Source organism: Homo sapiens, chromosome 4 (assembly GCF_000001405.40).
Source record: "Homo sapiens chromosome 4, GRCh38.p14 Primary Assembly".
In the NCBI taxonomy this organism is placed as follows: Eukaryota; Metazoa; Chordata; class Mammalia; order Primates; family Hominidae; genus Homo; species Homo sapiens.
Genome location: NC_000004.12, coordinates 176,287,021 through 176,298,553, shown reverse-complemented (window position 1 = coordinate 176,298,553; position 11,533 = coordinate 176,287,021). Strand labels below are relative to the sequence as shown.

The 11,533-nt window shown below is 42.1% G+C and overlaps 1 annotated feature.

Moving 5' to 3' along the window:
* Positions 7,545 to 8,041: a transcriptional cis regulatory region, noted in NCBI's record as "candidate enhancer chr4.3423 targeted for multiplex CRISPR interference". NCBI's record gives its function as "positively regulates SPCS3 gene expression in K562 cells {active_cell/tissue: K562}" and the evidence as "EXISTENCE:mutant phenotype evidence [ECO:0000015][PMID:30612741]".

Here is an 11,533-nt window from a genome sequence, read left to right as displayed (position 1 = left end):
TAAATAAAACTCCAAAAATTAAATTCCAGCCCTCAAACCCCACAACAAGACTTAATTAACCTCGCCTTCAAGGTGTACAACAATAAACTAGAGGCAGCCAAGTAGCAATGTATTTCTGAGTTGCAATTCCTTGCCTGCACTGTGAGACAAACCCCAGCCACATCTCCAGCACACAAGAACTCCAAACGCCTGAACCGCAGCTGCCAGGGGTTCCTCCAGAACCTCCTCCCCCAGGAGCTTGCTACAAGTGCTGGAAATCTGGCCACTGAGCCAAGGAATGCCCACAGCCCAGGATTCCTCCGAAGCCATGTCCCATCTGTGCAGGACCCCACTGAAAATTGGACTGTTCAACTCACCCGGCAGCCACTCCCAGAGCCCCTGGAACTCTGGCCCAAGGCTCTGACTGACTCCTTCCCCAATCTTCTCAGCTTACCAACTGAAGATTGATGCTGCCTGATCGCCTCGGAAGCCCCCTAGACTATCACAGATGCCGATCTTTAGGTAACTCTCACAGTGGAGGGTAAGTCTGTCCCCTTCTTAATCAACACGGAGGCTACCCACTCCATATTACCTTCTTTTCAAGGGCCTGTTTCCCTTGCCTCCATAACTGTTGTGGGTATTGATGGCCAGGCTTCTAAACCTCTTAAAACTCCCCAACTCTGGTGCCAACTTTGACAATACTCTTTAAAGCACTCCTTTTAGTTATCCCCACCTGCCCAGTTCCCTTATTAGGCCGAGATATTTTAACTAAATTATCTGCTTCCCTGACTATTCCTGGGCTACAGCCACACCTCATTGCCACCTTTTCCCCCAGTTCAAAGCCTCCTTCACATCCTCCCCTTGTATCTCCCCACCTTAGCCCACAAGTATAGGACACCTCTACTCCCTCCTTGGCAACCGATCATGCACCCCTTACCATCTCATTAAAACCTAATCACCCTTACCTCGCTCAACGCCAATATCCCATCCCACAGCACACTTTAAAAGGATTAAAGCCTGTTATCACTCACCTGCTACAGCATGGCCTTTTAAAGCCTATAAACTCTCCTTACAATTCCCCCATTTTACCTGTCTTAAAACGAGACAAGCCTTACAGGTTAGTTCAGGATCTGCGCCTTATCAACCAAATTGTTTTGCGTATCCACCCGATGGTGCCAAACCCATATACTCTCCTATCCTCAATACCTCCCTCTATAACCCATTATTTTGTTCTAGATCTCAAACATGCTTTCTTTACTATTCCTTTGCACCCTTCATCCCAGCCTCTCTTTGCTTTCACTTGGACTGACCCTGACACCCATTAGGCTCAGCAAATTACCTGGGCTGTACTGCCTCAAGACTTCACAGACAGCCCCCACTACTTCAGTCAAGCCCAAATTTTTTCCTCATCTGTTACCTAACTCGACATAATCTCATAAAAACACACGTGCTCTCCCTGCTGATCGTGTCCGACTCATCTCCCAAACCCCAATCCCTTCTACAAAACAACAACTCCTTTCCTTCCTAGGGATGGTTAGTGTGGTCAGAATTCTTACACAAGAGCCAGGACCAAGCCCTGTAGCCTTTCTGTCCAAACAACTTGACCTTACTGTTTTAGCCTAGCCCTCGTGTCTGCGTGCAGTGGCTGCCGCTGCCTTAATACTTTTAGAGGCCCTTAAAATCACAAATTATGCTCAACTCACTCTCTACAGTTCTCATAACTTCCAAAATCTATTTTCTTCCTCACACCTGATGCATATACTTTCTGCTCCCCGCCTCCTTCAGCTGTACTCACTCTTTGTTGAGTCTCCCACAATTACCATTGTTCCTGGCCCGACTTCAATCCGGCCTCCCACATTATTCTGGATACCACACCTGACCCCCATGACTGTATCGCTCTGATCCACCTGACATTCACCCCATTTCCCCATATTTCCTTCTTCCCTATTCCTCACCCTGATCACATTTGGTTTATTGATAGTAGTTTCACCAGGCCTAATCACCACACACCAGCAAAGGCAGGCTATGCTATAATGCAAGCCACCAGCCCGCTTTTTAGAACCTCTCATTTCCTTTCCATTGTGGGAATCTATCCTCAAAGAAATAACTTCTCAGCGTTCCATCTGCTATTCTACTACTCCTCAGGGATTATTCAGGCCCCCTCCCTTCCCTACACATCAAGCTCGAGGATTTGCCCACCCACCCCCGACCCAGGACTGGCAACTCTTAACTCCCTCTTAAAGTGGATAGATGATCTTTGCTGGCAGGGGACCCTCCAATACTTTCACCCTGATGAAGTTCTATTCTTTACTTTTATACTCACTCTTATTCTCATTCCCATTCTTATGCCACCCTCTACCTCTCCCCAGCTATCTCCACTACACTATCGACCTTACTATTCTCTCCTAGCCATTTCTAATCCTTCCTTAGCTAACAACCGCTGGCTTTGCATTTCCCTTTCTTCCAGCGCCTACACAGCTGTCCCCACTTACATGCAGATTAGGCAACATCTCCTGTCTCCCTACACCTCTGAACTTCCTTTAACAGCCCTCACCTTTACCCTCCTGAAGAACTCATTTACTTTCTAGACAGGTCCAGCAAGACCTCCCCAGACATTTCACATCAGCAAGCTGCCGCCCTCCTCCGCACTTACTTAAAAAAACCTTTCTCCTTATATCAACTCTACTCCCCCCATATTTAGACCTCTCACAACACAAACTACTATTCCTGTGGCCACTGGAATTCCCCTGGGTAACCTTTCACCTTCTCGATGTTCCTTTACTCTTCATCTCCAAAGCCCTCTTCTTGTTTACTTATACCCAGCCCTGTAAATAACAGTGAAAGGTTGCTCGTAGATACTCAACGTTTTCTCATACACCATGAAAATCGAACCTCCTCCTCTGTGCAGTTACCTCATCAGTCCCCATTACAACCTCTGATGGCTGTGGCCCTAGCTGGATCCCTAGGAGTCTGGGTACAAGACACCCCTTTCAGCACTCCTTCTCATCTTTTTACTTTGCATCTCCAGTTTTGCCTCGCACAAGGTGTCTTCTTCCTCTGTGTATCCTCTACCTACATGTGTCTACCTGCTAATTGGACAGGCACATGCACACTAGTTTTCCTTACTCCCAAAATTCAATTTGCAAATAGGACCGAAGAGCTCCCTGTTCCCCTCATGACACCGACACGACAAAAAAGAGTTATTCCACTAATTCCCTTGCTTGTCAGTTTAAGACTTTCTGCCTTCACTATTGCTCTCGGTACTGGAATAGCAGGCATTTCAACCTCTGTCACGACCTTCCGTAGCCTCTCTAATGACTTCTCTGCTAGCATCACAGACGTATCACAAACTTTATCAGTCCTCCAGGCCCAAGTTGACTCTTTAGCTGCAGTTGTCCTCCAAAACCGCCGAGGCCTTGACTTACTGCTGAAAAAGGAGGACTCTGTATATTCTTAAATGAAGAGTGTTCATTTTACCTAAATCAATCTGGCCTGGTGTATGACAACATAAAAAACTCAAGGATAGAGCCCAAAAGCTTGCCAACCAAGCAAGTAATTACGCTGAACCCCCTTGGACACCCTCTAATTAGATGTCCTAGGTCCTCCCAATTCTTAGTCCTTTAATACCTGTTTTTCTCCTTCTCTTATTCCGTTTAGTTTTTCAATTCATACAAAACCGTATCCAGGCCATCACGAATAATTCTACACAACAAATGTTTCTTCTAACAACCCCACAGTATCACCCCTTACCACAAAATCTTCCTTCAGCTTAATCTCTCCCACTCTAGGTTCCCACGCCGCCCATAATCCCTCTCAAAGCAGCCCTGAGAAACATAGCCCATTATCTCTCCATACCACCCCCCAAAATTTTTGCTGCCCCAACACTTCAACACTATTTTGTTTTATTTTTCTTATTAATATAAGAAGACAGGAATGTCAGGCCTCTGAGCCCAAGCTAAGCCATCATATATCCCCTGTGACCTGCACGTACACATCCAGATGGCCCGTTCCTTCCTTAACTGACGACATTCCACCACAAAAGACATGAAAATGGCCTGTTCCTGCCTTAACTGATGACATTACCTTGTGAAATTCCTTCTCCTGGCTCATCCTGGTTCAAAAGCTCCCTCACTAAGATCTTGTGACCCCCCCCCACCCCTGCCCGCCAGAGAACCCCCTTTTTCCCTTTACCTACCCAAATCTTATAAAATGGCCCCACCCCTATCTCCCTTCGCTGACTCTCTTTTCGGACTCAGCCCGCCTGCACCCAGGTGAAATAAACAGCCTTGTTGCTCACACAAAGCCTGTTTGGTGATCTCTTCACACGGACGCGCGTGAAATACACAATATGTTAGATCAGGAATCTGAGTGAAAAATAGCTGTTAAACGAGAGCTTTATTTTATTTTATTTTTTAAAAATCTTAGGTTAGTGCAAACCTACTCTAAAAATAACTCTTAATTTTTCTGGAGCTATTTAATTTCTACTCTCTTTTATTCCACAGCCATTCACAAATGCTGACTTTGTATAATACCTATTTAAAAATGATTTTGTGGCCTTAGACTTAACAGTACAAGTCTGTTTTCTGGAATATCAAGCCATTATTGACTTCTGAGACCAAGCTAATGCATCATAAGAACTGTGAACCATGTTCTCTTACGTTCATTAATTCAGTTTACAATATTTAAGCTCAGCTTAGCTACAAAGTGCCAGATAGTGATGAGTTTGCAATTATTTGTTTTCAAACACCATTGAGTATAAAAAACTACAATATATAACATAATCATTTGTGGCCATGGTTTTTAATTCATGCTGATCACACATTTCTTTGGGGATAATTTCTAAAATGAACCCAAAATATTATTTCACAGAATGTTAAGCATGGGTCTTTCTCAGTACTTATTCAAGCTTCATAAAGCAGTATTGAATTCAGGTGCCCTACATTTTCTGCTGCTGCACATCTAAAACGTTGTTGCACCATACCTTTGGTGTTATTCTTTGGTACTTCCTTTCTCTCACTAGCCAATCACCAATTCTACCCCTAAATGTATCTTGTATTTATCCACTTTTCTCAGTTTCTACTCCCATTACCCTAGTTCCAGCCATCATCATCTCGCTGGGATTACTGCAATAGCTTCCTAACCAGTCGTCTGATTCTTTTCTGCCCTAATTCTACACATATCAGGCAAAGTGATCCTCGCTTGCTTTTATTAAAGCCTTGCCATAGCTTCACACTTAACTTAGTGTAAAATCCGATGTACTTACTGTGGTATTGCAGTTTGGGTTCCTCAAGAAGTCTTTGAGAGGTTGATTCGGGCCATGAAAGGCAAAGAGGACAGCTGAAGGAAGTTAGCAGGCAGCACCACTAGCAGCTGGGAGAATAAATGCTTCAGTTCTGTGGGGAAATCTGGGTGGTGCATCACAGGATCACATGTGGCCCAAAACAGTGGGCCCTGCCCACTTCTCAAGCACCTTCCCTCACTCACACTTCAGGCATACTGGCCTTCTATATGTCAGTTCCTAGGAAACTCAAATCCTTTACTGCCACAGGATCTTTGCACTGTCTGTCCTGTGCCTGGAATGCTCTTCCCCAGCTCTTTATTTGGCTGGCACTCTGTCTCTGAGTCTTCAGGTCTCTGCTTAAATATTGCTTCCTCCAAAAATATGTCCTTGCTTCCTTAATTGTGGGTCAGCACTGTTATTTATTTATTGCAACACTGCATTTATTTCCTACATGTCAATCATCAGTCTTTATCTTTCAAGTCATTATTATATGACTTCTTCACAAGGATATAAGGTCCGTGAAAAAAGGGAAACCTGTTTTACTGACACTTGTCCTTCTGATATCTAATATAGTTCTGGCACAGAGTAGGTGCTTGATAAGTCTATATTGAATGAAGTAATAAAAATCTTCACTGTGCTTTTGCATTATGGGAGCTTCATGATCACCCAGTTCAGATAGATCAGGTTGATTATGAATTGGTCATACTGTGGCAACTACATAATTAATACTAATACATAACTAAGATGAATAATGTATCAAAGCAAGCTTAATGTAGTTATTAAAAGGACAGTAATTGTTACAGCAACTGTCTTACTGGAAAAGCACAACATTATTACCTTTAATATAATAATAATAAGTAAATCAAAAACAGGTACCAATGTGTTGCTCAGGGACAAGAATGGAAAAACAACAAAAAAATGGATTACAAAGAAAGTCTAAGTGTGTAGTTATTGGAAAGGGTATCTGGTTGAAGTAAATTTAAATGATAATCACCTTAGAAGGTCACCTCACACAATTATACAGGGCCCATAACATAAATTTCATTAGCAAACTTCGCCAGAAGGTTATTGATGACACAAATCAACACTCCATTAAGACTAAATGTGTCTTGGCCAAGCTGGAAGTTAATTAATAAAGTAGATTATCATGAGATAAAACTGAGCAAGCAAAAAGCCTCAAGATCTTAAAATAAAAAAGTTTCCAAATGTTGTGCGATTATGTATTCCAATTAAACTACCATTGAACAAAGCTGCCTCTTTCTGACTAAGACCTGATATTATGGCAATTCCTTGCTGTATCTACACATAGCATATAAAAGAGAAAAATGAGTTAGCAATAATGCGTGTGATTCATAACTAACAAATATATAGGTCATTTTTACTTGTCATTGTAGTTCCAGGAATTCAAAGGCTACTCTTCGTCTTTTCATTTTTTTTACAAGTAATATTTGGGTTTTTTGCTTATCATTGGGAGAAGTGTGGGTAAAAACTTGAATATAATTTCCTTTCAGTATATGAGCCTTTTGAATTCCTTTTGTTTTAAGATGCAGGAATGTAAATCCCATAAAGACAAAAACTGTGTTGCTTATCATTGTATTCTCAGTTAAGCATAGAAGGTCCTTAATGCATATTTTTTGACTGAATAGTGAATGTCATAGAGATTTGAGAATGGAATTAGATCAGAATTCTTCTGTAACAGTAGAGGATAATTTCATTAAAGAATTTTATCTACTTTGTTTATTTTTAGTGCTGCTAATCAACAGAAACTCAAGTGCAAGGAATTATTTTCTTCTTATGTATACTATAATTGTTTACTGAACTCTACCAGGAATGAATGCCTATTCTTCTAGTACATGTATTGAAAAAAAATACTGCAAAGTTTTTAATCACCTTTCTTTTTATAAGATTTAGGCATAGCCATTTCAATAAGTATTGTTGGTTTATTGAGTATAAGACATAAAACTTTAGTTTCATTCATTCATTCTTCTGCTTGTAGAAGACACTTAAAATGTCAAAATGATGTTGAACATAATTCCTCTCCTATTCTGACCGTCGTTTGAGTGCCCCTAAATGTTCTTACCATTTAACATGGCCTCTTTTCAGAGGAATGCATCTTCTGAGCTGATGCTTTTCCTAGGCATAAAGACTCAATTGGTGTCTCTCTCCACTACTTTATTGACTTCCTCTCTTTCCTGACCCCAACATCAAGTGACTTTTGTGCCAGATCCCCATTGACTTCAATAGGGATAGCACTATGTTTGAGAGGCTGAAAAAGAAACCCAGAGTCAGTGAATGAGATGTAGGGTTTACTGAAGAGATTTACACACAGGTTGGACCAGTGGGGGCAGGCTGGACAGGAGAAGTGCAGCCACTTGTGAAAAGCATGCGATTTTTACAGCATTTTCACCCATCACCCTCTCTTTAGCAGTCTCCTCCTGGCAACCTTCATTCAACACAAAACAAAAGGCCTCCATCTCCTGTACAGCCCGCACTCCATGGAATGGGCCAGGGATTCAAATGTTCTTCATAGATAAGACACAAGAGTTCTTACCTCAGACCATAGGGTCATTCTCAGGGTATGCTTAACTTATTGCTGTCAGATGCATCTGTCACACAGTGATTAATCTGATTGACAAGTCTTTGGAGAACAACATGGATATGCTCACCTCAGCTTCTCCATTTCATATTTTCTCTTGTAGGAGCTAGATTCTTATCAGGAAGGGGCATTCTCTGCTGTTTCTGCAGGAACAAGCATTTCTGTGCCTTCCGGAGCAATCTGCTTCAGTCCAGCGTTGCCTGCGACTGGGGGATACATGTCCCAACTTTTTTTTTCTTTGTTTGAGATGGAATTTCACTCTTGTTGCCCAGGCTGGAGTGCAGTGGCTTGATCTCGGCTCACTGCTACCTCTGCCTCCTGGGTTCAAGCAATTCTCTTGCCTCAGCCTCCCAAGTAGCTGGAATTACAGGTGCCTGCTACCACACCAGGCTAATTTTTTTGTATTTTTAGTAGACAGGGTTTCACCATGTTGGCCAGGCTGGTCTTGAACTACTGACTTCAGGTGATCCACCTGCCTCGGCCTCCCAAAGTGCTGGGATTACAGGCATAAGCCACTGTGCCTGGCCTTCCCAATTATATAATAAACGTAGGAGTCAAATGGATGGTATTCTTCACCCTAGCATCTATTAGTAATAAAGGTGATATTTTGATTCTCATCTTATTTGCCTTCTTTCTGTGGGAGTGTCAAGGTGTTATTTATTCAGTTCCCTCAGAACATCACCATTTTGTTACATTGGCCAGGTTCACTGAGAAATACGTTATAAAGAACAAAACTCCATGTGGAGTGATTAAAGCCTGGGCTTCAGGCTTAGACTTTCATGTGAGCAGGGCATGTTGACCTGGCGCTGGGGCTGACTTAATCTGTAGTCACAGTAGGCGTAATGCCGAAGGCCCATTACAAAGGACACTTTCAGGGGCCCACAAAAAGGTTTTCATGTCTTTAAACTCTGAAGAAAAGAAATACATATAATCCAGCTTGGGTGTGTTCTTTATACCAATGCAAATGTAAAACGTAACTTTTAATATTTTTAAATAGCTTCTTAGAATTTTTCATGAAAGGAGCTTTGAAAGGCAAAAGTGCACAGGGCCCACAAAAGTCATACTTGCATTCCTTCTTGAAGCCCTGTGGAGGCTTTTATTAGTCTGGTCAGCCATTTACCGTGGTGCAGTCGGCTTTTAACTGCTCTGACCTTAGTAAAATGGTTCACGTGGATGTTGGTCTGATGGGTGCATGCACCTTATGGGCACTCTGCTGTGTCCATGGGTGAGTGGCCGCTGCTAATGAAGGTTGAATTACAAGCGTGAGAAGCTCTAAGCGAACAGCACGTGTACAGCATCTCTCTGAAGCAGAGCTGTAAGGATATCAGCAAGGTTGCTCAGGGCACAGGTTGCTACAGCTTCCCCTTAGGGTACACTTGGCAAACATTTCCAGGGCGAAGGGCCTCAATAGGTGCTAGTGTGACACAAGAGGGAATGAGGAATTCATTATAGGGGAAGGTCTTTCTGTATACAGAACTTTTAGATGTTAGGACACAGAATGTATCTGCTGCTTTTACAGGACAGGATAGCTGACAGCTTTGTTCCTACCAAACAATAGCAAAATAAGATTCCACACTTAAAATTGGGATGCCCCAGATTCTGCACTGAGGTGCAAGATGCACTGTGGAACAATAACCTTGAATTCATGTGGCTGATCTGTGGGATCAAATATAAAAATACTGGAAGAATCAATAGATAAACTGTGAAGTGACATAGAGGGAATGAACCAAGCTGCTGGTCAAACTTGCACCACCCAGATTGAAGGAACATCCTTCAGATGATTGTAGAATTCAAGTGGTGAAAAGATAGTAGCTGGAGAAATTTACACTGGCCTCCCCAGGGCTCTCAGGGAGCAGGCATTAAAATTCCCCAATGCAGCTTCAGTTCAGGAGTTTGTTGAGGGCGATTTTCTAGGTGAACCAAAGGCGGAGAACTTGGTGAACACTTCCTCTCAATACTAGTTTCTTAAACCTAAGCAGTTCCGTAAGAAAAGACAGTGGCAGGAACTTCTGAGGCACAAGACTAAAAATGATTGGTTACCAGATTCTCAGGAGGCCATATTACCTTCTAGAGCTCACACATAAAGCTTTAGTATCAGAAATAGAGGCTCAAAAGGGAAATAGAAATTATGATGTTTTACTGGTTGGGAAGTAAAATATTTAGAAGGGCATGGGGCTCATGCCTGTAATCCCAACACAGGGAGGATCGCTTGAGCCCAGGAGTCCAAGACCAGCCTGGCCAACATAGGGAGGCCTCGTCTTTACAAAAAATGCAAAGATTAGCCAGGCATGGTGGTGCATGCCTGTAGTCCTAGCTACTGAGGAGACTGAATTGGGAGGATTACTGGCACCCAGGAGGTCAAGACAGCAGTGAGCTGTGTTTGGGCCACTGCCACTCCAGCCTGGGTGACACAGCAAGACCTTATCAAGCAAGCAAGCAAGAAAGAAAGAAGAGAAAGAAAGGAAAGAAAGGAAGAGAAAAGAAAGAGGAAAGAAAAAGAAGGAAGGTAGGGGAAGGGGGAAGGGAAGGGGAAGGGAGGGAGGAAGGAAGAAAGGAACTTTAAACAAGACTGGTGACTGGAACTGTCTTCATTGCATTCAAATCTCTGCAAAAAGACTTTAGTCACAAACACCACTCTCTGAAAGAGGAAAGATTATGTATAGGTGGGCTTTCTTTTCCAGATATGGTAAATTTATAGTACTCGAATTAAGCTCTTGCTGAGAAATTTCTTCCTTTTAAGTTCACAATTGTAGATGCTGTACAATTTGGCATCTTTTGACAGACAATCTGGTGAAGATACAACCCAGATTTTGTTTTTTGTGTATCCACCCTCCTACACTTGATACTACTGAGTTTCTACCTTGGCTTTTGGCAACACTGATACTGGGTGGTAGGAATGTAATTTTTCCTGGGATAATTGCCATCAGCAGAGGATTGGCTTGTTTTCTGCATTTGTTGGGTATGGGGCCAGGGCTGCTGATAATCTTATATGTCCTGTATCTCTTTGGACACTTTGATAAATGAGGAACACAAGAGACCTGGCATTGAGTGAATGCAGCTTTTGATGCCCTAATGGTATTACAGTCATTCAAATGAGAACAAGGCTGGGAAGGCTGCAGGAATTCCAACTCTTTCCATTTCCTGAGAATCCCTCAGACTGAACCTGAGCAGAATAAGAAATTAGGAAAATCATATTTGGATCTTAATTTAGCTTAAGATTTATTTGACTCTGGTAACTCACAAGATCAAGTGAATTTCATTTTGGACTCTAACTCCTTTATATGTTAACATGCTAAGGGATTCATCCCCTTTAAGAAATTTTGAAAGTTAACAATATATTGAAATATGCACAAAACAAGTATATATCTTAGCAAATTATTATAAAGTGATCATTCAAGTTTAAGAAATAGGGCATGGCCCCCTCCCTGTCATACCTCCTGACCTCCAAAGATAATCACTAACCTGGTAAACACTAGAATGGTTTTTAGCACCAAAATATGTATCCCTAAACACAATGGTTCACTTTTACCTTTATTGAACTTTATAAATGAAATTCTATGGTATTCTTTTTTGGTATGGGGAAACCATTTTCTTAACATGATGTTTGTAAAAGTCATATTTGTGTAGCTATAGTTTATTTTCATAATCAACTAAGTGCCTGGGCCTGGTTCACTGAC